The sequence below is a fragment of the Homo sapiens genome, chromosome 7 (assembly GCF_000001405.40).
Source record: "Homo sapiens chromosome 7, GRCh38.p14 Primary Assembly".
In the NCBI taxonomy this organism is placed as follows: Eukaryota; Metazoa; Chordata; class Mammalia; order Primates; family Hominidae; genus Homo; species Homo sapiens.
Window position 1 is genome coordinate 44,293,253 of NC_000007.14, and position 25,528 is coordinate 44,318,780.

Genomic DNA, 25,528 nt, shown 5'->3' on the forward strand with positions numbered 1-25,528 from the left:
GGAAAGTATATTCAGAGATACCATTTTCTTCACATTTTTGACAATGCTATGAGCAGAGCACAGGCCATTTCTTAACCAAATAAGCTCATGACAAATTCCCCCATATGCCCTGGTGAGGTTCACAGGTGAATGGTGATGCATGGGAGCGCTTCCACATTTTCACATGGGTTAACGTGGTCGTCGTCACTTCTAGACAGCCAGATCGAGTTTGTACAGGTTTTCCTCCCATATGTTGACAATCCTGTATAGCAGTGGTCCCCAGCCTTTTTGGCACCAGGGACTGGTTTTATGGAAGGCAATTTTTCCACAGACTGGGGCAAGGGCTAGGGGAAAATAGTTTGAACAGAATGAAACTGTTTCACCTAAGATTATCAGGCATTAGTTAGATTATCTTAAGGAGCGCGCAACCTAGATCCCTCGCTTGCACAGTTCACAATAGGGTTCGTGCTCCTATGAGAATCTGACACCTCCGCTGATCTGACAGGAGGCGGAGCTCAGGCTGTAATGCTGGCTTGCCCATGGCTCGTCTCCTGCTGTGTAGCCCAGTTCCTAATAGTACTGGTCCGTGGCCTGAGGGTTGAGGAACCCAGCTGTATAGGATAGGAGAACAGTGTGATTTTTGACATGTTTCTGTGACACCGTGTTCAATTTCAGCCTCAGGGACCTCACATCTCACACTGCCCAGACCCACTGCCAGGAACTGCTACAGCCGGGACCCTCTGGGTCATGCCGGAGAGCTCAAGGCAAGAATGCCAACGGCAGCAAGGCAGTGGGCAGCAATCTGAGGTCGGGTGGGGTCCGACTGGCTCCCAAGGCACCACACATCCCCAGGAAAGCTACTTCTCCCTCTTCCCGCCCAGCATCCCACACACCTGGCTGACCCCCCTCCAAGGAAGGAAAACCCCAGTCTCTGCCTCTCTTCTTGGGTCCTCCCTGCCCTCGCCAAAGTCCCCAACCCCAAGGGACCACATCAGATGCCCCTGTCTGTGTATCACAGGACCAACGGAAGGGGTGCAACAGGAGGCAGGACAAGGACACAGGCATCCTGGGATGCATGCTGCTGATGGGTGGCCTCAGAGGTGGCACACACAGGTAGCAAAAGGGCTACGGAACAGACAGTTGGTCCCCAGGCACTGATTGCTCCCTCTCTGTCCCAGCGACCAGCCCAGAACAGGCATGCAGAAGGCACTGGGCAGTGCTTGCCCAGGGATGGTGGGAGTGCTGGGGCTTGGCTGCATGTGCCCTGTGATTGATTGGCAATGTCTGCACTGAGCACCAGAAGGAGACTGCAGATGCTTATTATGAGATCTCTATTTGTGATTTAGAAAGATCTATGAGTCAACAGGCTACCTCCTGGCCCTGGATCAGTCCCTCCTGATTTGTACAAGTCCCATCTCCTGGCCCTCTGCTCCTCATCTCCCCAAAGTGCACCCAGGCCAGCACCCTTCACCACTTTGGTGCCCTGGCCATGGCTTGGCCATATATAGGCTGGTGTATGTTTGTATGGCAATTCTATGGGGGTGCTGGCCTCTCTAAGATCAAACAGAACCCTCCCAGGACACTAAAGCAGTGCACCCACCCCTCCCAACAAAAGGTCAGCTGGGTCCCAGCAAACAGCTGAGTCAGATACACATGGGGATTGGCAGATGCTGATGGTGTATCCTTCCCAGCAGGCACTGCACTTTCTGTCCCACCTGGGATGTGGAAAGTCAAGGGAAGACAATCAAGGCCCACAATTCTGGACTCAGAAAAGCCAAGTAGAGATTAGAAAGATGGGAGGTTTGAATCAGGAAGACCTGGGGTGAATTCTGGACTTATAACTTAGCGCTGGTCTGCAAAATGGATTTGATGATACATATTACACAGGGTTGATGTGTTAGAATAACAGGTGCCTACCTCAAATCACACTGAAAAATAACTTCTGGGTAGATTTTTTAAAAATACCTAAAATGTGAAAAGAAAAACCTACAAAATGTAAAAAGCAAAGCTTAAAACATTGGTCTAGCATGTGAGAAGCTTGGAAGTCATCACTCCTGTCCTTACAGACAAAAAGCTAAACAAACTGAAAATCAACAACTCTTCTTAGATCCATCAGAGAACTGAGGTTGCAGGAAAACTTCTGCCTCCAAAATTGGCAGATAGAGAGAATTACAACTTGCCATCACTTCTCAGCCTTTGGTTAAAATCAAGTGTGCAGAATCACAACTTACCAGAGCAGAAACCTCCATGGAACCAGTGCTGGGGTAGGGAAACCTAAACTGTAATTGCCGAATTGCCAGATGCTCAGTGTGGACAAGTCTGAGAATTAAGAATTCCAGGGTGCCTAGCCTTAGCAGCGTGCACCCACACTTTTGTAAGTTCTACCTCCAGGAGCCCTACCAGATTCTCACAGCGAAGACTGGAGGAAAACTCCCCAGGGCTTCTGGCAGGGGGAGGAGAAAAATATTCATTTTGAAATATGCCACGGCGTTCTGTTCTTCTTAAAACCCTGCCCTCAGGAGAAATTATCTTACTACAGCCCAACCTGCTGGGGCTTTATCAGAGCCAAACCTACCTTGGGGAAGGAAAATACCCAACTCCAGCCCCCTCCAGCCATCCTGTATGTAGTACATAAGCGGATGGAAGAGAGAGACTGAGAAGCACTTGTGAAGGTCACAGCACAGGGGCAGGCACAGGCTCGCTAAAATACTGAGGCCTAATTATAGGAGTACAGAATGCTTCCTCTCCCTCAACATCCTGCTGTCACATTACTGAAGGCCAGTTCACCACATCGCTTTTACCCGGTACATCATGTCCAGCTTTCAATAAAAAAACTACAAGGCATATAAAAAGGCAGAAAAAAATAGTCTGAAGATACAGAGCATGCACCAGAACCAGACTCAGATATGGCATGGCTTTTGGGAACTATCAAACTGGAAATTTAAAACAACTGTAATTCCCATGCTAAAGGCTCTAATGGGAGAAGTGGACAACATACAAGAACAGGCGGGTGATGTAAGTAAAGAGATGGAAGTTACAATGCTAGAAATCAAAAATGCTGTAACAGAAATAAAGAATGTCTTTGATGCAGACTAGACACAGCTAAAAAACCAACCAGTGAGTTTGAAAACATATCAATAGGAACTTCTAAAACTAAAATGCAAAGACAAAAAAGAATGAAAAAGACAAAACAAAATAATCCAAGAACTATAGAAAAATTACAAAAGATATAAACACATGTAATGGAAATATCAGAAGGAGAAGAAAGGGGAAAAGCAGAAGAAATATTTGAAGTAATGTTGACTGAGTCTTTCCAAAATTGAAGCCAGGCACCAAACCACAAATCCAGGATGCTCAGAGAATTCCAAGCAGAAGAAATACCCCAAAGTGTATATCGGGTCGTATCACATTCAAACTGCAGAAAATCAAAGAGAAAATCTTGAAATAACCCAGAAGCAAAAAACACTTCACCTGTCAAGGGGCAAAAAAGCATTACATCAGACTTCTCAAGCTCACAAGAGGAGAGTGGAGTAAAATATCTAAAGTGTTGGAAGAAATGAACCACCAACCTAGAATTCTGTATCCAGAGAAATTATCCATCAAAAATAAGAAACAAAGATGTTCTCAAACAAAAATTGAGGCAATTGGTCACCAGCATACCTGCCTTATAAGAAATGTTAAAAGAAATTATTCAGAAAGAAGGAAAATGACATAGTTCAGAAACTTGGATCTACATAAAGAAAGGAAGAGACTTAGAGAAGAAATAAGTGAAGGTAATATGAAATCTTTTTTCTAATTATTCATTGATCTAATAGATAACAATTTGTTCAAAATAATGATACTAACAGTGTTTTGGGTAATTATCACTTATGGATAAGTGAAAGAAAGCAACATTATCAGGGATAGGAGAGAGGAATTAGAAATACTCTGCTATAACCTATAAGGTATTTGCATTACTTCACTACATGCGAAATGGTGTAGTGTTATTTGAGAGTGGGCTTGGGTTAGTTGTAAATGTATATAGGTATATGGCAAACTCTAGGACAACCACAGAAGAGAAAGAGAAAGAGAGGGAAAAGAAGAAGAAGTGGAAGAGGAGGAGGAATGCTAAGAGAAGCAAGAAAGGAGAGAAAATGGAATTATATAAAATGCTCAATTAAACCACAGAAAGCAGAAAAAGAGTGGAAGACAGAAAAAGAAACAAAGAAAATAGGGAAAAATAAAAAACAGAAACAAATATGGTAGCTATCAATCCAACTATATCAATAATCACTTTAAATGTCAATGGCTCTATATACACAAATTAAAAGACAGAGATTATCTTATTGGATCAAAAAACAAGACCAAACTATATGTCATCTACAAGAAACCTATTTAAACATGAAGACACAAATAAGTGAAGAGTAAAGGCATGGATACTACTCAAAGTTATCTACAGATTCAAGTGAAATCCCTATCAAAATTCCAATGGCTTTTTTGCAGGGAAAAAAAAACCATCTTAAAATTGATATGGAATCTCCAGGGACAAAAAAATGGTCAAAATAATCTTGAAAAAGAAAAACAAAGTTGGGGGACTCACATTTCCTGATTTCAAAATTTAATATAAAACTGGCCGGATGCAGTGCCTCACGTCTGTAATCCCAGCACTTTGGGAGGCCATGGAGGGTGGGTCACTTGAGGTCAGGAGTTCAAGACCAGCCTGGCCAACATGGCCAAACCCTGTCTCTATTAAAAATACAAAAATTAGCCAGGCTTGGTGGTGCACACCTGTAATCCCAGCTACTCAGGAGGCTGAGGCAGGAGAATCACTTGAACCCGGAAGGTGGAGGTTGCAGTGAGCTGAGATCATGCCACTGCATTCCAGCCGGGGTGACAGAGTGAGACTCCATCTCAAAAACAAAACAAAACAAAAAACCCAATACAAAACAATAATCAAAATGGTCTGACACCGGCATAAGGACAGACACAGAGACTAATGGAATAAAATAGAGTGCCCAGAAATAAATTCTCCCATATATTGATTTTCAACAAACGTGTCAAGGGTTATTCAATGAAGAAAGGACAGTCTTTTCAACAAGTGGTGCTGGGGAAACTGGGATACCCACATGCAAAACAATGAAGTTGGATCCTTATCTTACACAACATACAAACAATAACTCAAAATGAATCAAAGACCTAAATTTAAGGCTAAAATTACAAAACACTTAGAAGAAAACATAGGTGGAAATCTTCATAACATTGGATTTGGCAATGATTTCTTGGATATGACACCAAAAGTGCAGGCAACAAAAGAAAAAATTAATTGGGCTTACCAAAATACAAAATTTTTGTGCATCAAAGGACACTATCAAGAGAATGAAAAGACAACCCACAGAATTGGATAAAATATTTGCAATTCACCTATCTGATGACGGATAAATATAGGAGAACTACTAAACGTCAATAACAAAGAAACAAACAAGCCAATTCAAAAAATGAGCAAAGAACTTGAATAGACATTTCTCCAAAGAAGATATGCAAATGGAAAACAAGAGATGTTGAAAATATGTTCAACATCACTAGCCATGAGAGAAATCAAATCAAAACCATAATGAGATACCACTTCACATCCATTAAGATGACTATTATAAATTTTTTTTAATTGAAAAAAGCCTGAAAATAACAAGTGTTGGTGAGGGTGTAGAGGACTTGGAACCCTTGTGCATTGCTGGTGGGAATGTAAAATGTTGCAGCCACTGTGAAAAACAGTTTGGCAGCTCCTCAGAAAGTTAAACATAGAATTACCATATGATCCAGCAATTCCACTCCAAGGTGGATCCAAAAAAAATGTAAAGCAGGGACTCAAACAGATACTTGTATACAATATTCATAGCAGCATTATTCACAATAGTCAAAAGTAGAAGCAACTCAAATGGCCATTGACAGAAGAATGGATAAATAAAGTGTGGTCTATATATACAATGAATATTATTCAGCCTTGAAAAGGAAGGAAATCATGTCTACAACATAGACATATCTTGAGGACATTACGCTAAGTGAAATAAGCCAGTCACAAAAGACACAAATACCACATGATTCCCCTTATATGGGATACCTAGAATAGACAAATTCATAGAGAGAAAGTAGAACAGAGGTTGCTGGAATAAGGAGAGAAGGGGAAGTCAGTTTTTAGTGGGTACAGAGTTTCAGTTGGGGAAGATGAAAAAATTTCGGACAATGATGGTGGTGATGGTAGCACAACAATGTGAATATACATAATGTTACTGAATTGTATCCTTAGAAATGGTTAAAATAGTAAAATTTTTATGTATATATGACACAATTTAAAAATTAAAAATAAATAAAAAGAATAATTTTGATTAGCCAAATCAAAATACATATAAGTGAACTGTCTACATTAATTAGAGAAAACAATCATTTTAGGATCAATAATTTGCAATTGACCATTCTTTGTCCATTTCTGGACTCTACTATTTATTAATTGTGTGATCCTGAGAAAACTCCTCATCTGTAAATGGAGATGATAATAGTATCTCTTAGAGCTTTTGGAAAAGTCAAAAAACAATGCATAGTCTAGTGCATAGTAAAATGCTCAATAAATGTTAGCCATGATTATTTCTTTCATGGATAAAGAATGGATTCTTTAATGGCAAATTATATGTTACATATAATTTTGTTTTACCATAATTTAAAAAAGTAAATGGATGGAGAAAGATGTACCATGCTAACAATAATTAAAATAAAGCTGGAGTAACTATATGTATATATGTATGTATATGTGTATGTGTCTGTGTGTGTGTGTGTGTGTGTGTGTGTGTGTGTGTGTGTATGTAGTTGTTCAGACAGGGACTCACTCTGTCACCCAGGCTGGAATGCAGTAGCACAATCATGGCTCACTGCAGCCTCTACATTCCAGGCTCAGTCTCCCAAGTAGATGGGACTACAGGCATGTGCCACCATGGCTGGCTAATTTTTTTAATTTTTTGTAGAGATGGGGTCTTGGTATGCTCCCTAGGCTGGTCTCAAACTCCTAGATTCAAGCATTCCTCCCACTTCAGCCTCCTAAGGTGCTGGAATTACAGGTGTAAGCCACCATGCCCAGCTATATATAGTAGAGACACGGTGTTGCTATGGTGCCCAAGCTGGTCTTGAACTCCTAGGCTCAAGTGATTCTCCCACCTGGGCCTCCTGAAGTGCTGTGATTACATGTGGGAGCCACTGCACCCACCCAGGAGTAACTATATTGATATCAGAAAAAAAAAAACAAAACAGATTTTACAACCAGGGAAATTATCAGGAATAAAGAAGAGCATTACATAATAATAAAAGGGTCAGTTTTCTAAGATGACATGCAGTCCTAAACATGTACATACCTAACACAGAGCATCAAAATATGTGAAGCAAAAACTGATGGAACTGTAAGGATAAAAAGATGACTCCACTATCATTGTTGGTGACTTCAACACAACTCTACCAGAAATGGACAGATGCAGCAGGCAGAAAATCAGTAAGGACATGATTGAACTCAACAGCTTCATCAATCAACTGGCTCTAACAGACATCTATAGACTACTTCATCCAACAACGGCAGAATACATTTTCTTCTCAAGCTCACATGGAACAATCACCAAGACAGACCACATTTTGGGCCATAAAAACACCCTGATACATTTAAAATACAGTAATCATATAAAGTACGCTCTCAGACTGCAATGGAATTAAATTAGAAATCAATAACAGAAAGATAGCTGGAAAAGCCCAAAATACATGGAAACACCACACTTCTAAATGACACACAGACAAAAGAAAAAATGTCAAGGGAAATTTTAAAATATTTTGAACTAAATGAAAATACAACTTATCAAAATTTATGGAATGCAGCAAAGGCAGTCTTTATTATTTATTTATTTTTTAGGGACAAGGTCTCACTCTGTCATGCAGGCTGGAGTGCAGTGACACAATCATAGCCCACCGCAGCCTTGAACTCCTAGGCTCAAATGATCCTCCCGCCTCAGCCTCTTGAGTAGAAAAGACTACAGGCATGCACCACCATGCCCTGTGATGTTTTTTGTTTGTTTGTTTGTTTTTAGAAACAGGATCTTGCTATGTTTCCCAGGTCAGTCTTGAACTCCTGTCCTCAAGTGGTTCTCCCACCCTGTCCTCCCAAAGCACTGGGATTACAGGTGTCAGCCATTGCACCTGGCCAAAAGTAATCTTTAGAGGAAAATTTATAGCATCAAGTGCCTACATTTTGAAAAGAAGAGGCCGGGCACAGTGGCTCACGCCTGTAATACCAGCACTTTGGGAGGCCGAGGTGAGCGGATCACCTGAGGTCAGGAGTTTGAGACCAGCCTGGCCAACATGGTGAAACCCTGTCTCTACCAAAAATACAAAATCTAGCCGGGCATGGTGGCGCATGCCTGTAATCTCAGCTACTTGGGAGACTGAGGCAGGAGAATCACTTGAACCAGGAAGTCGGAGGTTGCAGTAAGCCGAGATCGCGCCACTGCACTCCAGCCTGGTGACAGAGCAAGACTCCATCTCAGAAAAAAAAAAGAAAAGAAGAAAATAGAAATCTAAAATCAGTAATTTAAGCTTCCACCTTAAGAAACTAGAAAAAGAAAAGCAAATTAAATCCAAAGTAAGCAGAAAAAAAGAATAAAAACTAGAGTGTAAATCAATGAATTGTGCAAACAAGAAACTGATACAGAAAATCAACAAAGCCAACAGCTAGTTCTTTGAGAAGATCAATAAAATTGGAAAACTGCTAATCAGGTTAACTAAGGAAAAAAGAGAAAAGAGGCAAATTACTAATACCAGAAATAAAAGTGGGGCCACCAATACAGATCCCACGGATATTAAAAGACTAATAAAGAAATACTATGAAAAACTCTATGGCCATAAATTTGATAGCCTAGATAATATGAACCAACTCCTTGAAAGACACAATCCTCTAAAACTCACACAATGAAATATAGATAATGTAATATAAACAGGACTGTATCTCTAAAAGAAATTGAATGAATAATAATTTTCCAAAACAGAAAGCACCAGGCCCAGATTGGTTCATTGGTGAATTCTACCAAACATGTAAAGAAGAAATCATATCAATTCTCTAAAATCTCTTTTAGAAAATAGAAGCAGCAAGAATACTTCCTAACTCATTCTATGAGGCTAGCATTACCCTAATACTAAAACCAGACAAGGACATTATTTAAAGAAAAGAAATATACAGACCAAAATCTCACATGAACACAGATGCAAAAATTCTCAACAAAATATTACCAAATTGAATCCAACAATGTATAAAAAGAATTATATATCATGATCATGCGGGATTTATCCCAGGTATGCAAGTCTTGTTCAATATTCAAAAATTAATTATTATAATCCAATGCGTCAACAAGGTAAAGAGGAAAAATCACACAACTATATCAATACATGCAAAAAAAGAATCTGACAAAAATCCAACACTGTTTCATGATTAAAAACTCTCAGCAAACTATGAATACAGTGGAGCTTCCTAAATTTGATTTTTAAAAAATCTAGAAAAGACCTACAGTTTACACCATACTTCATGGTGAGAAACTGGATACTTTCCACTAAGATCAGGAACAAAGCAAGTATGTTCCCTTTCACCACTGCTATTCGACATCTTACTGGAAGTCCTAGCTAACATAATAAGGCAAGAAAAGGAAATAAAAGATACACTTATTGGAAAGGAAGAAATAAAACTGTCTTTGTTCATAAATGATATGCCTATATAGAAAACCCCAAAGAATCAACAAAAAAATTCCTGGAACTAATAAATGATTATAGCAAGGTTGCAGGATACCAGGTTAATATATAAAAGTCAATTGTTTTCTTACATATCAGCAATGAATGATTGGAATTGGAATTTTAAAACACAATACCATTTACATTTCATCCCCCAAAGTGAAATACTTAGGTATAAATCTAACAAAATATGTACAAGATCTATATGAGGACATTTACAAAACTCTGATGAAAAAATATCAAAGAAGAACTAAATAAATGCAGAGGCATCCCATGTTCATTAATAGGAAGATGCAATATTGTCCAATGTCAGTTTTTCCCAAATTAATTTACACATTCAATGCACTCACAATCAAATACCGGCAAGTTATTTTGTGTATATCAACAAACTGATTCTAAAGTTTATATGGAGAGTCAAAAGATACATAATACAATAACCAACACAATATTGAAGGAGAAGAGCAAAGTCTGAGGTTTGTGAATACCAGATAGAGAAAGGATAGCCTTTTCAACAATGGTGCCAGAACAACTGGATATTCAGATGAAAAAAATGAATCTAGACACAGATCTTACACCTTTCATAATGATTAACTTAAAATGGGTCATAGACCTAAATGTAAAATGCAAAACTTTAAAACTTCTAAAAAATAACATAGAAAATCTGGATGACTTTGGGTTTGGTGATGATTTCTTAGATACAGTGCCAAAAGCACAATTCATGAAAGAAAAAATTGATGAATTGGACTTAATTAAAAGTAAAAAGTTCTGTTCTGTGGAAGACACTTATGAGAATTAAAAGGGAAACAACCACAGACTTGGAGAAAATATCTACAAAACACCTATCTGATAAGACTGGTTTTCAAAATATACAATGAACCCTTAAAATTCAACAATATAGAAACAACCAGTTTAAAAATGGGCAAAAGATCTGAACAGATACCTCACCGAAGAAGATATATGGATGGAAAATAAGCATATGAAAATATGCTCGACATCGTAAGTCATTAGGGAATTGCAAATAAGACAAAAAAGAGCTATCACTATACACCTATTAGAATGGCCAAAATCTAGAATTCTGACACCACCAAATGATGGTAAGAATGTGGAGCAACAGGAATTCTCATTCATTGTTGGTAGGAATGCAAAATGGTACACCTGCTTTGGAAGAGAGTATGGTAGTTTCTTGCAAAACTAAAAATATTCTTTACCTTACACTCCAGCAATCACACTTCTTGGTATCTCCCAAATACATTGAAAACTTATGTCCACAAAATACCCGCAAACGGATGTTTATTGCACCTTTATTCATGACTGTGAAAACTTGGAAGGAACCAAGATGTCCTTCAGCAAGCAAATGAACAAACTGTGGTACATCCAGACAATGGAATATTATTCAGCTAAAAAGAAATGAACTATCAAGCTACACAAAGACAGGTTCCTCCTCCCACTTAAGGAGGAAACTTAAGTGGCCACTGCTGAATAAAAGAAGCCAGTCTGAGAAGGCCACATACTGTGTGAGTCCAATGGTATGACATGCTGGAAAAGGCAGAAGAGAGTCAAAAGACCAGTGACTGGCAGGGGTTGGGTGGAGGGAGAGACAAATAGGTGGAGCACAGAGAAATTCTGGGGCAGGTGAAACTACTCTGTGTGACACTGTAATGACAGATACATGTCATTCTACATTTGTCCAAGCTCATATAATCTACAACAGCAAGAGCAAACCCTAATGTAAGCTATGGGCTTTAGTTAATAATATATTAATATTGGTCCATCATTGTAACAAATATGCCAAACTAATGCCAGATGTTAACAACAGGGGTGGGGAATGGTGAAGGGGAATATGGGAACTTTATACTTTCAATCCAATTTTTCCATACAGACAAAACTGCTCTAAAAATGAAGCCCATTAATTTCTTTTTCATTGTAAAGAGAAAAAAATTGTATCTTTAAAACACCAGGATAGAGAAGGACTTTTTAAAACCATAGGCAGAAAAGCATGTATCACAAGGAAAATGCCTATATATTTGCCATATAGTGAAATTTAAAACTTCACTGTGACCTGAGGCCCTGAACAACATTAGGAAAAGGTGTTTCAGGGACTCTAAAGTCTTCCCCTGGAGCTGTCATCACCCCGGGAGACATCCTGACTGTAATACCCACCTACGCATGGCCCTCTCAGTGTATAAGGGTTCCCTTCAGGGCTCTCAGGCCACAGTGAAAGATGGGGCTATGCTCCCCATGTCACAGGAAGGGACAGGCACTGAATGCTCTGCTGAGACCATGGCAGCATGGATGTGGAGGTGGGATCAAACCAGACCCCTCTCCCCTAGCCAGGCACAGTGGCTCATGCCTATAATCCCAGCACTTTGGGAGGCCAAGGTGGGAGGATTGCTTGAGCCCAGGAGTTCAAGGTTACAGTGAGTTATGATGCACCTCTGCACCCCAGACTGGGTGGCAGAGCAAGCCCCAGTCTCAAAAACAAAACAAAATGAAACAAAAAATCCCCAAGCCCCCCAATCAACCTCTTGCCGCCCTGCACAGGTCCCCTGAGGTGCCCTGCACTGGCTCAAAAACAGTCTCCTGGGGAGATGGACGGGGCACCCCTGTGAGGTGGGGGAGGTGGGAGCAAGAGGAAAATGAATCACAGGACTTGAGCCAAGTAGAGCCCTGAGAGTGGGAAGAAGCAGGGCCGGGAGTTGGCAGCAGGACCAAGACAGGGGCGAGAGGCCTTGGGTGCCGTCTTGGCTCACTCCATCACTCGGTCACGCTGGCTGGGCCAAGGCAGAGGCAGTGGGTGTCAGAGACAGCTCTTCCAGCTAGAGAACAGACTTTCACATTTTCTGGATTCTTGCGAGCCAGCTGATGTCATGTTGTTAGCTTGACATTGGCCACGGTGGGCATCTTCATACCACAGAAATGGGCAAACACCACCCACCAGGGACCCCACCCCTCTGTTAAACATTGACCAGGCACCACTTGAGAGGGGACTGCAAGGGGGGATGATGTGGCCTCCCTCTACATACCCCAAATACCCAGAGGGAGGGGGGTTGAGGGTCAGGAGGGAGGAGAACCTGACAGGCCAGAAACCACCTAGGGGCTGAAATTACATGCTCCCCATGGGAGTGAGAGAGGAGAGGGGGTGAGCACTCTTCCTGAGGAGAGGGCTCACAGGGGAGCCAGTCTGACTGGGGGTTCTGAAAGCCACGGTGGGCTGGGCTGGGATCCCCGTAAATCCAGCCTGTCCTGTGCAGCCTCGGTGGGAAGTTCCCCCTTCCAGGGAGGGTCTGGGACTTCTGCTCATTCTGTATCAGCATCCATCTTTCTCTTTCACTTCTCCGTTCTCTCAGGTGAACCATATCCTCCAGAAATCTTCAGCAACAAATGTCTTCCTTTAGCAACCCCACAGGAGCTGTGCCCCAGAACAATGGCCATGACCCCAGTGGGGAGGTCTGCATTAAGCAAAGAGCAAAATAAATACAGAGATGAAGACAGGAGGGAGGACCACCCAGGAACACCTGTAGCCCACTGTGCCCATGCTCTTCCAACAGACTAGGGGAGGCCTGCAGGTCAGGCCTAGCCTCTAGGGTGGAGAGGTCCAGCCTGTCTCTTAGCCCTGGACCCAGCCTTGAAGCATGTGGTGGATTATGCAGATAATGCACAGGGGTTGCTGGAGAACTGTCACTCAATCTGGCCATGCTGAAACCAGTGAGCAGGAGGAGGGTGTGGGCAGGAGGAGGAGGGTGTGGGCAGGGGGAGGAGGATGCGAGCAGGGGAGGAGGGTGTGGGCAGGGGAGGAGGGTAAGGGCAGGGGTAGGAGAGTGTGAGTAGAATGAGGAGGGTGTGAGCAGGGGAAGGAAGGTGTGAGCAGGAGGAGGAGGGTGTGAGCAGGAAGACGGTGTGAGCAGGGGGAAGAGGGTGTGAGCAGGAAGAGAAGGGGGTGAGTAGGGGGAGGAGGATGTGAGAAAGGGGAGGAGGGTGTGAGCAGGAGGAGGAGGGTGTGAGCAGGAAGAAGAGGGTGTGAGCAGGGAGAGGAGGCGGTGAGCAGGGGGAGGAGGGTCTGAGCAGGGGGAGGAGGGTCTGAGCAGGGGATGGAGGGTGTGAGCAGGAGGAGGGTGTGAGCAGGGGGAGGAGGGTGTGAGCAGAGGGAGGAGGGTGTGAGCAGAGGGAGGAGGGTGTGAGCAGAGAGAGGAGGGTGTGAACAGGAGGAGGGTATGAGCAAGGGGAGGAGGGTGTGAGCAGAGGGAAGAGGGTGTGAGCAAGGGGAGGAGGGTGTGAGCAGAGGGAAGAGGGTGTGAGCAGGCGGAGGAGGGTGTGAGAAGGGGGAGGAAGTTGTCAGCAGGGGGAGGAAGTTGTCAGCAGGGGGAGGAGGGTGTGAGCAGGGAGAAGAGGGGGTAAGCAGAAGGAGGAGGGTGTGATCAGGGGGAGGAGGGTGTGAGCAGGGGAGGGTGTGTGAAGAGGAGGGTTTCAGGAGGCTCAGCCTGGGGCCTCCTGTGTCATTGGCGCCATCTGGCCCCTGGCACTGGGAATGGTCTGCCAGGGCTCACTGCATCTTTGGAATTCCTCCCCTGCCCACATGGAGAGGCTGTCACGCACATCAGGGGCCAACCTACTCCCTGGGACAAGGCTACGGTGCCTGTGTCCTAGGGCCTTGGTCCTGGCCTCATGAGATGCGCTTAGCCAGAGTCTGGTGGAGGTGGCCCATTAGCCTAGGGCCACCTGGAAGGAGCCTGTGGGAACTCTGAGGGGAACGCTGAGAGCTGACCCTTGTTGAATTTGTTTTCCTGTTTTTACCCACTGAAAGCTTTCATTTATTTTTCTGTGAGCTGTTGCTGCTGTCATCCGTACTTCAACTGGGGTTTTGGCCATTTTTTTTTAACTGGGGGGCCTCATTCTGTCACCCAGGCTGGAGTGCAGTGGTGTGACTGCAGCTCACTGCAGCCTTGATCTCCTAGCCTAAGTGATCCTCCCACCTGGGCCTCCCAAAGCGCTGGGATTCCAGGCCTTTTTGACCTATAGGAGCTCTTTCCATATGAGGGAAACCACCCATTCACCTCATGTAGCCCAAATGCTGGGAGGGCCTGCTGTGGCCTCACCCACACGGGATGTGCCCAGGAGGCATGGGGCAGGCACGTTCTTGTTCTGTTCCCTAACAGGAATGTGAACACTTTAAGCACAAGGCACGTCTCTTCTCCTCTTTGCCCCTAAAATCCAGATGTGCAGATGGCTAATTGCCGGAGCTGCCATCCTGACTCTCACCTGAGAAATTCCAGGGACAAGCTGAGCTGTGGGATGAAAGAAGTGCCCATGGTAGGTGGAGCCAGGATGCCAGATAGGAAGGCCCAGGTGGCTGGGGGAAGAGAGACAGGGCCTGCCCCATGCCTGTGTGTGGTGGCGCCCAGCATGGTGTCCTGCTCCTGGGTCCCCATCCCCCTGCCCCCGGCTCGCATCCCATGTCCCCCTCCTCTCCTCACAGCTTGCCTTCCCTGATTGGGAGCTGCTGGCCCTCCTCCTGTGCATCCCCCCACTTCCTTGGTCATCCCCTTCAGAACCACACTGCTGCCCTCTCTGAGCTGGATCCACAGGGACACCCGGAGGGCAGGACAAGGTTCCACCAACGTGTCTACTTTGGGAAGATGAAGGCAGGAGTGACATTACAGAGAGAGGGAGGTGCGGGCCCCCCATATCCCACCTTGTCCGGAGGGCAAGGCCCCGTCCTACTCAGGGAATGCAGACCACTAGCCCCAAGACTGGCCATGAGGCACAGAGAAGGCACTTTGCCCAGCAGCAGGCCTTGCACATCAGGCGGTGTGCGAGCCCCTCGTCTCTCCTCACAAGAGACCAGGGGCTGAGCAGACCATCCCTCCCCGGGGCCTCTGTCCATGGCCAGCCTGCCCTTTACTGCCTGCCAGCCGGAAGGCCCAGAAGGGTCCAGCAAAGGCACTGAGGGAACTGAGCTGCGGTGACCAGCCTGGCTTGGCTTAGCCCTGTCAGGGGGGTTGTGTCCTCAGGTCTGGCTAGGCTGAAACGGACCCCAGAGCCCTGCCCAGCACTGCCCGCCTGGCCTAGTAGGCTCCTACCACCAACGCGGATTCCACAAACCACTGCGACTGTGCTGTGCACTGTCCCAGAGGAGTGGGCGGGCACCAGGCCAGGCCCCAGAGAGGAGAGAGTGGTCTCACCACAGCCAGGCTGGTGCTCCTCCCTGCAGGGGGCTGGGACAAGGGGCAGTTCACAGCTGCCCAGCTGAAGCCGGGCTCTGGGGCAGGGGTCAGCCCACCCACCTGGGGCCCAGGCCATCTGCGCTCCTGGCCTGACGGGAGAAGGGACACAGACGGAGGGTTTAAGGCCACTGAGCTCTCAGGACGGCCCGAGTACCCGAGCTCTGAGCCAGCAGGAGCAGGAGGGCTGGGCTGCGCCTCCAGCCCCGGGGCCCACCCTTGCTGCGCCCCCATCTCCCTCCTGCACGTCCAGGGGCTGCCCTGGACCACATCAGGTCCCCAGCTCCGTCGCGCCCCTAAGCACAGGGCATGGGGAGGGCCCTCGGGAAGGACAGGCAGAAGCGGTCCCCATCCGAGGAGTCCTCTGACCCCAGGGTGCGGGTGTGGGCTGGAGTGCGGTGGGGTCGGGACTCTGCGCCCGCGGCGTCCCAGCTGTGGAAAGGACACAGCCTCCTCGCCCGGGCAGGAGCGCCCGCGGGGGACCAGTCAGTCCCTCACCCTAGCAGTGGGACCTGAGTGGATCCAAAAGCCAGAGACACCAGCCCATCGGAAGAAACTGGGGACGAGAGAGATTCCGACGCCAGCACCGTAGGGGCCGCACTCGGCGTCCGTCCGCGCAGCCTTGCAGCGACCTTCAAAGGCGGCGCTTAAGAGCCGGTCACGCCCCTCCTGGAGCGGCGGCCCGCGGGTAGTCACCGCGCCTGAGCAGCCAGAACCAGGCCGAGGCCGCGCGGCTCGCGAAGGACACGCGGGAAGAGCCTTTCCGCCGGCTGAGCCGTGGGCGCCACCGCCAGGGACCCCAGGCTCACCAAGCCACGCGCGGAACCGCACGGTGGCCGAGACCGGGCGGGGGCGGGGGCGCTTTGGGAGTTAGGATACGCTTTGTGCCCGCTTGCTGCTTTTTTCCTGCAAGCTGCGCATCAATTAAAGTACTCGGGTTTTTGTTTGGTTTCAGATCAATCAGATTTCATCCTTCGAAAGTTTTATTCTCAAGGAATGCAAAAGGATTTTGGAAGCTTAGAAATGTCCACGTAATCAGACTGTGGGTCACCTGCATGTGGGAGAGATGAGCTTTGGGGCAAGTCTCAGAAGAAAGAAATGGGGCTTCCACAGAACCACTTCCTGGGGCCGGAAGGGACTGGAGAGAGTCATTTGACCCAACCCTCCTGGTTCGTAAGTGGGGAGGCTGAAACCCAGAGAGTTACGTGGCAGCCCAAGGCCACACAACCCAGTGGCTATGTCATGCGCGGTGGGAGGGGGCCATGTATCATGTCCTTTAAAAATGTCCTTTGTACACCCGCATTCATAGCAGCATTATTCACAACAGCCAAGAGGCAGGAGCAACCTGCGTCTGTCAATAGATGAGCAAAATGCACACAATGGAATATTATTCAGCCTTAAAAAGGAAGGAAATGCTGACACAGGCTACAACATGGGTGAAACTTGAAGACATTATGCTCATTGAAACAAGGACAAACACTGTCTGATTCCACTTATATGGGGTCCCTAAAGTTGTCAAATTCATAGAGGCAGACAGCAGAATGGTGGGTGCCAGGGTGAGGGAAGGGAATGGGGAGTCGGTATTTAATGGGGACAGTTTCACTTAGGGAAGACAAAAACGTTCTGGAGATGGATGATGGTAACAGTTGCACAACAATGTAAATACACGTACTGCCACTGAACTGTACACTTAAAAACGGTTAAGACAGCAAATTTTTCTGTTATGTATGTTTTACCTTAATAAAATACCTGGTATGGTATGTAGCCGTTATCTCTGAGGAATCATTAAGAAATAATGACAGAAACTGGTACTTGCAATGCTGTCTTTAAAATCTGGTTTTTATTTTTATTATTTTTTTACTTTTTTGAGACAGTCTCATTCTATTGCCCAGGCTGGAGTGCAATGGCGTGATCTCGGCTCACTGCAACCTCTGCAACCCCCTGGTTCAAGCGATTCTCCTGCCTCAACCTCCTGAGTAGCTGGGATTACAGGCACATGCCACCACGCCTGGCACATTTTTGTATTTTTAGTAGACATGGGGTTTCACCATGTTGGCCAGGCTGGTCTCGAACTCCTGACTTCAAGTGATCCGCCCATCTCGGCCTCCCAAAGTGCTGGGATTACAGGCGTGAGCCACCGCACTCAGCCAAAATCTGGTTTTAAGAAGAACTCCTTTATCACCATGTGGCAAATCAAATTCTTAACCTCTAGTAACAAACAAGAAAAACTCAGAGAAAAGAATCCCTAAGGATTCCAGACAGTAAACCATAAACTAAAAGCAATGTGTGGCTGTGAGGGGTGGCAGGTAAGATTGTTGTGCCCCAGCATGTGCCCCTGAGGCTGGCCCCGGGTGCTTGCAACCCCTCTCAGGGCTCTCCCAGCCCCAGCCCCGGGTACCCAGAGGGGCTGTCCTGCCCCTGCGAGCACCACAGCCTGGCTCTGCGGTTCTGAGCTGTGTCATCCTTCACACAGGACCCCCACCGCCCCAGCTCTGGGCCTCAGGGACAACAGTGGGAAACCAGAGGCCTTCAGGCCTGGGTCTCTGCTCCCACCTGCAGACAGGACAAGGGGAAGGGGTGTGTGACTGACTCTGCCCTACCCCCACTCTGGGCAGGGAAGGGTGACTGCGTGGCTGGCTCCCTGCACCGTGGACTGACCCTCACGACGCTCCAAGAGGTGACCCTTCTCCTGCCCAGGGTCATACAACGGGGCCCAAATGAGGCACAGGCCCATCCTCACCACGGAGTCACGCCTGCTGGAGACTTTCCTCGCCACATCTCTGTCCCCACAGCCCAGAGGGGGAAACTGAGCCCCAGTGTGTGCTTCCTGCTGGTGATGCCCCCATGGGTGACCAAGGCTGGGAAGAGCCCCACATTTACCCCAGGGCAGTGAGGCCACAGAAACAGCACTGGAGTCACAGGGAGGCTGTGCTCTGGTCCATCCACACTCCAGAGCCTCCATCCTTGGTGCCAGAAAGTGGAGGTGAGTGGAATTTAAAATGACAACTCTATTCCAGCATCCTCAGCCCACACTGGGGGAAATAGTTCAGCCAGGTGTCAGTGGCGAGAGGGTGGTGGTGGGAGGGTGGGGCAGAGACCCAGAAGTGCCTGTGACACTCTCAGGGGCTGCAAAGCCCCAGAACGGCCTTCAGAGCTAGGGACAAGCCACCGAGTACCTGGGAGGGCAGGAGAAGGAGGGCCACCCAAAAGACAGGATCCTTTAAGTGAAAGGAGAAAGGAGAGGGAGGAAGAGGGAGGGAAGGAGGGGAGGATGATGAGGCTGGAGAAAGAAACAGCCCCAGGTCCTTCCCGGGAGGGGCTGCCCCATAAAGTGAGGGGGGTGCCCAGTGGCCATCGTCACCACACCAGGAAGAGCCTAGAAAAGACCAGGAAGCAAAAGAGGGAGGAAAAGTGGAAACATGAAGTGAGAAAAAGAGAGGGAGAGAAACAGAGAGACAGAGGAGACAGAGAAAGAGTAACACCTCCCGCAAGACAGGCTGTCCTGGGTTGGATGTCATGTGGACAATTGGTCAAGATAAGAATTTGTGAATGTCAATCAGAGAATAAAAATGTAAGAATAAAATGAACCTGGCCTCAGGCATGCAGAGGAGTTGTGAAAAGCATCAAAATCACTGCTTTTCTCAGGGTTTTTGACTGGGAGGGGTGTTCTCCGTCAGTCCCTGGGGCTGTTATGATGAAAGGATGGGGATGGGGTGGTGGTAGGCAGTGGGCCCAGGACAGCTGGGTCCCCAGCTCTGTCGAAGGAGGAGTACAGGCTCAGCCACATTAATTTCCAGGGAGACAGCAGGACCCTCGGGGCTGGTGCGCTTCCTCAGCAGCGGCCTTGTGACCACCACTTTCTCACTAGCCACTGGGCCCATCACCCCTGATGGGCTCCTGGCATCCCAGCACCCAGCCCAGCCTCCACCCACCTCCCGCTGCCTAGCTGGGGTCCTGAGTGACAGGCCAGCACTCCCTCGCTCCGTCCCATTCCCCTGATCCTTGGGCTGCCTTTCAGGGCACACACATTGTGCCTCAGAAGTCCCACACTGCAATGGAAGTCGTCCTGCTGCTATGAGGCCCTGACAAGGACTTTAGGGGCCCAGGCTTTCTCTGAGGAAGGAAAAAGGGCACAGGCGGAGGGCACCCCTGAGGCCCACCTCACACTGCAGTAATGGGAAGCTACAGCCCCAGCCTTGCTACAAAGGCCTGGCCTGGAGTTTCTGATGTGACAGTCCCAAGGGCCACTCAGGAAACAAGCAAAATAGAGTCCCAGAACGTGAGGTGAGGCCCAGACGTGGGGTGAGGCTATGGGGGCAAAGTTTGGAAGCCAGGGCACCTACTGGGTTCCTAGTCACAGCGGAACCCTCAGTCACACAGCCCTGAAAGTAAGGTGGTACAGACGGCATCTTCCCCTGTGCTGGTCTCTGGAAAGGGTCACCCAATGTGTCATGTGTCCCTGAACTCCAGGTCAGAACCCGCCCCAGGCCCAGCTTATGTGAGGGCTCACAGGTTCCTGGATCTTCCTGGGCCAGTGGGAACCTGGCCCTCCCCAGTGCCTCTGGCCTGAGCTCACATCAGGCACAGGCCCAGAGGGCTGGCTAAGTTTAGAGATGCTGTCATCCGGCACCAGTCAGATGCTCCAGTGACAAGGCTTCTTCTCACAGTTTTTTGTTTGCGAAGACACTTCGCAGCAGAGGCTGGTTCAAAGAAGGTGGCCTGGCCAAAGCCGCATTTCTGCTGGGGTCCTGAAGATTAGGGGAGGCCGCCCACCCTGAGCCAGGCATTGGCAGTCACTTTAATTTCTAAGCTCACTTCTCAGCAATGTGAACGTCGAGATCCAGATGTGAGAGCTTTTATTTTCTGAGTAGGTTTTATTTCTTTGACATCTTTATTGAGATTTAATTCATATACCAAACAATTCACCCATTTAGAGTATATAATTCAGATAAATATATCTCAACAAATATATTGAGAGTTGTATATCCATTACCACAATCTAAGTTTATAACATTTTCATCACTTCAGAACCAAACTTCTACGCATTAGCAGTCACTGCCCATCCTCTTTCCATCCATTCTCGCTCCAGTTTTTGTCCTACAGGTTTGCCTTTTCTGGACATTTCATAAAAAGGGGATTAAACAACACATGGCCTTTTGCGACTGGCTTCTTGCACTGAGCATGACGTTTTGAACGTTCGTCCACATTTCAGCATGTGTCGGTGCTTATTAGCATTTCATTCCTTTTTATGCCTGAATAATATTCCACTGTATGACTATAACACATTTTTCTCACGCATTCAATCAGCTGGTGGACATCTGGGCTGTTTCTACTTTTTGGCTATTATGGATAATGCTGCTATGAACCAGTTTTTGTGTGGACATATGTTTTCATAGCTCTTGGGCATATACCTAAGAATAGAACATTTTGAAGACCCACCAAAGTATTTTTCATAGTAGCTGTGCCATTTTACATCCTCACCAGCAATGAATGAGCATTCCAACTTCACACCCTCACCAACACTTGCTATTATCTGTCTTTTCGACAGTAGCCATCCTAGTAAGAGTGAAATGGCATCGCATGATGGTTTTGAATTGCATTTCCATAATGATGCCAAAATCTTTTCATGTGCTGTGGGCTATTTGTTACCTATTTTAGAGAAATGTCTAAGTCCTTTGCCCATTTTTTAATTAGGTTGTTTCTTCTTACTGTTAGGTAGTAAAAGTTCTTAAAGTATTCTGAATACAAATTCCTTACCAGACAGATGGTTTGCAAATATTTTCTCCCATTCTATGGACTATTCTATTCCACTTTCTCAATGGTGTCCTTTGAATACAAAAGTTTTCACTGTTAATGAAGCCCAACAGCAAAACTATTTTTCTTTCGTTGTTTATGCTTGTGGTGTCATATCTAAAAAACCATTGCCTAATACAAAGTTGCAAAGATTTACTCTTATGTTTTCTTCTAAGAATTCTGTGATTTTAGCTCCTACATTTAGATCTATTATTTATTTTGAAATAATTTTTGTATATGGTGTCAAGTACAGCTCCAACTTCATTCTTCTGCATGTGGATACTCAATTGTCCATTTGTTGAATGGACCGTTATTCTTCTCCACTGGAATTGTCTTGGCACCCTTGTAAAAAATCAACTGAACATAGATGTATGGATTTATTCTACACTCTCAATCCTATTTCACTGATCTATGTATTTATCCTTATGTCAACACCACACTGTCTTGATTGCTGTAACTGTGTAGTTAGTTTTGAAATCAGAACCCGTGAGTCCTCTGACTTTGTTCTCCTTTTTCAAGATTGTTTTAGCTATTTTGGGTCTCTTGCATTCCTATGTGAATTTTAGGGCCAGGTTGTCAATTTTTGCAAAAAACGCAGCTGGAATTTTCATAGCAAAAATGTAGGTCAATTTGGAGTATACTACTATTTAACAATATTAAATATTCCAATCCATGAACATGGGATGTCTTTCCATTAATTTAGGTCTTCTTTAATTTCTCTCAACAGTGGTTTGTGGTTTTCAATGTACAAGTCTTGTACTTCTTTTATTAAATTTAGTATTAAGTGTTTTATTTTTTAGATGCTATTGTAAATTGTTTTTCCTAATTTTGTTATTTTGAACTTCTAGTCCATTGAAATACAATGGATTTTTGTATATTGGTCTTACATCTTGCAACTTTGCTAAATTCATTTTTTAGTTCTAATAGTTTTTTAAATGGATTCCTTAGGATTTTCTATATACGAAAGCATGTAATCTGAAAAGAGAGGTAGCTATAACTATTTATTTCCAATCTGGGAGCCTTCTATCTCTTTTTCTTGCCTAATTGCCCTGGCTAGAATCTCCTATACCGTGCTGCCTAGAAATGGAAAGAGCAGATACATTCAGTTTTCCACCATTAAATATGAGGTTAGCTGCAGATTTTTCACAAATGTATTTTATCAAGTTAAGGAAGTTCCTTTCTACTTGTCATTTGTTGAGTTTTTATCATGAAATGGTATTGGTTTTTTTTTAAATGCTTTTTCTGCATCTATTGAAATGGTTCATATAGTTTCAATGTTTGTTCTATCAACGTGGTGTATTATATAGATTGATTTTTGTATGCTGAATGAACCTTTCATTCTTGGGATACATCCTACTTGTTCATAATGTATAAATAATCCTTTTTATATGTTGCTAGATTTATTTTGCTAGTGTTTTGTTGAGGATGCTTCATCTGCATTCATAAGTGATAACAGTCTGTAGTTTTGTGATATCTTTGGTTTTGGTATTAGGGTATTGCTGGCTTCACAGAATGAATTGGAAAGAATTTCCTCCTCTTCTACTTTTTGGGGGAGCTTGTAAAAGACTGGTATTAATTCTTCTTTAAATGTTTGGTAGGATTTACCAGTGAAATTATCTGAGCCTAAGCTTTCCTTTGTGGGAAAATTTTAAATTACTAAGTCAGTCTCTACTTGTTATAGGTCTATTCAGATTTTCTATTTCTTCTTGAGCCAGATTCAGTAGTTTGTGTCTTTCTAAGTATTTGTCCATTTCATCCAGGTTATCTAACTTGAGGGCACATAATTATTCATAGTTATTTCCTTATAATTTTTTTTCTGTAAGGTTGGCAGTAAGGTCCCCTGTGTCATTCCTGATTTTAGCAATTGGAGTCTTCTTTTTTCTTGGCTTTACCATCCTTTTTATAATAATAACCTTCCTCCTAACTAGCACTCCTGAGTCTTCTTAATTATTCTCAGAGGTATTAATCACCTTCTACCCTATCATATAATTTTTTTAGTATTTATGTTTATTGCCTGCCTCTATCCAGCAGTATATAAGCTCCCTAAGGGCAGGCATCCTTGACTGCTTTGTTCACTACTGTTTCCCAAGCACCTATGGCACATGGTAAGTACAGGCAACCAGACTTGCTGAATAAATGAATAAGTCTTCAGGAGAGCAAAAGAAATCTGGAACAGACTAAGACAGCTATGACTGTAACTATTATCCTTAAAAGAAACCAGGAAAAATGAAAAAAAAAAAAAAAAGCATGGTGATTTTGAAGCTCTGGCCCTGTGTTGTCCAATACTGTGGTCACTGTCACCATGTAGTCATAAGAACCTGGTCCAAACTGAGATGTGCCGTAAGGGTAAAATACACACCAGATTTCAAGACGTAGTACAAAAAGGAATGCAAAATAGCTTAATAATTTCTGTTTTGATTACATGTTGAAATGATTTTTTAATTTTTGTACAGATGGGGTTTTGCCATGTTGCCCACGGTCTCTAACTCCTGGGCTCAAGTGATCCACCCACCTTGGCCTCCCAAAGTGCTGGGATTACAGGCACGAGCCACCGCACCAGGCCTCTGAATGATATTTTGGATATAAAGTTAAATAAATATATTTTTAAAGTTCCTTTCACCTGTTTCTTTTTTTTCTTTACGTACTAGAAAATTTTTAATCACACATATGGCTCAACTTTGTATCACATTTTATCTCTTCTGGACAATGCAGCTCTCGACAACTTGGATGGGGTGGGCGGTGGGGTAGTAATGTCATTGTGAATGTAGAGAAAATGAAGGTAAACTTCAAATTCATGCCTAGGTGGGCTCTGAAAGAACCAAGGGTTATATGAAGGAGTGTGGGCTTAGGCGAGTGTCTGGCCTCAGGTGCAGACTCCTCTGCAGAGTCTAGGTATGCAGTGCCCATTGGAATCACCTGGGAGCTTTTAAAAACTGCTGATACCCCATTTCCCTAGTGTCTGGCTAAATGCGATGGGGCCTGAACACTCCTCAGGGGCTTCCCATGTGTGGTTGGGGTTGAGAACCACCACATGGTCATCTTCTTTGGGAGGGCCTGCTCCTAACCAGACTCCTACCCTTTGCCCAGAAAGCCCCTAACTAATGGCCTGGATCAAACTCACAGACGCTGAGAATCAGGCAGCACCTCAACAAACAAGAAGTCATGTGAACAACCTCATTAAGAAATTAGCTGAAAGCTGCAAGCCTCTTGGAGTCAAGCTCCATGACAGACATATAAGTGCTGACAGCCCTGCTACTGCATTTCACCGGGTGACAAGACTGTCTACCCAGACTGGACATCAGAATACCCGCAAGACCTACCTGCAGAGCCACCCAATACCTCTTATAAGGCCCTCATCTTTTACAGGGTGGGTGTGCCACTGCTCTGGGAAGCAGTCCCAGGTGCAAGGCCTGAGTGACCCAGACCATTGCTGAGTCACTGTGGAGCACCTACTGTGTGCCAGGCACTGTTCTCAGCACTTGAATTCAGGGTGTGTTGGGTGACAGAATCAAGGCTCCTCAGCTCCTTGCTGGAAACGGCACTCACTGGGATGTGCTTGACACCCAGAGGGCATTACAGCAAAAGGCATAACACCTGCAGTACTTCATTGTAAGGGCGACAGCAGCTCCTGCCCTCCAGGCTTCTCTTGCTGCTCACAAAGTGAGGAAACAAGGACTGTGGGTCCCAAATTCCACCCTGTACAAGTGTGCCATTATGCTTCCTCCCATAAAATCTTCTTAAATCTTTGCCTGGTTGTTGCC

The 25,528-nt window shown here is 45.4% G+C and overlaps 1 protein-coding gene across 35 annotated transcripts in view, besides 4 other annotated features; it reads right to left on the minus strand.

Annotated features, from left to right (window-relative positions):
* Positions 1-25,528, minus strand: part of CAMK2B (calcium/calmodulin dependent protein kinase II beta) — a 108,860-nt gene that overhangs the window by 76,099 nt on the left and 7,233 nt on the right. The gene's annotated exons all lie outside the window — the stretch shown is intronic.
* Positions 968-1,468: an enhancer, noted in NCBI's record as "H3K4me1 hESC enhancer chr7:44333819-44334319 (GRCh37/hg19 assembly coordinates)". NCBI's record gives its function as "activates a minimal SCP1, AML or CMV promoter by ChIP-STARR-seq in naive H9 embryonic stem cells {active_cell/tissue: H9 hESC(naive)}" and the evidence as "EXISTENCE:reporter gene assay evidence [ECO:0000049][PMID:30033119]".
* Positions 12,989-13,038: an enhancer, noted in NCBI's record as "active region_25938". NCBI's record gives its function as "activates an Ori minimal core promoter by ATAC-STARR-seq in GM12878 lymphoblastoid cells {active_cell/tissue: GM12878}" and the evidence as "EXISTENCE:reporter gene assay evidence [ECO:0000049][PMID:35858748]".
* Positions 15,634-16,237: an enhancer, noted in NCBI's record as "H3K27ac-H3K4me1 hESC enhancer chr7:44348485-44349088 (GRCh37/hg19 assembly coordinates)". NCBI's record gives its function as "activates a minimal SCP1, AML or CMV promoter by ChIP-STARR-seq in naive H9 embryonic stem cells {active_cell/tissue: H9 hESC(naive)}" and the evidence as "EXISTENCE:reporter gene assay evidence [ECO:0000049][PMID:30033119]".
* Positions 16,238-16,839: an enhancer, noted in NCBI's record as "H3K27ac-H3K4me1 hESC enhancer chr7:44349089-44349690 (GRCh37/hg19 assembly coordinates)". NCBI's record gives its function as "activates a minimal SCP1, AML or CMV promoter by ChIP-STARR-seq in primed H9 embryonic stem cells {active_cell/tissue: H9 hESC(primed)}" and the evidence as "EXISTENCE:reporter gene assay evidence [ECO:0000049][PMID:30033119]".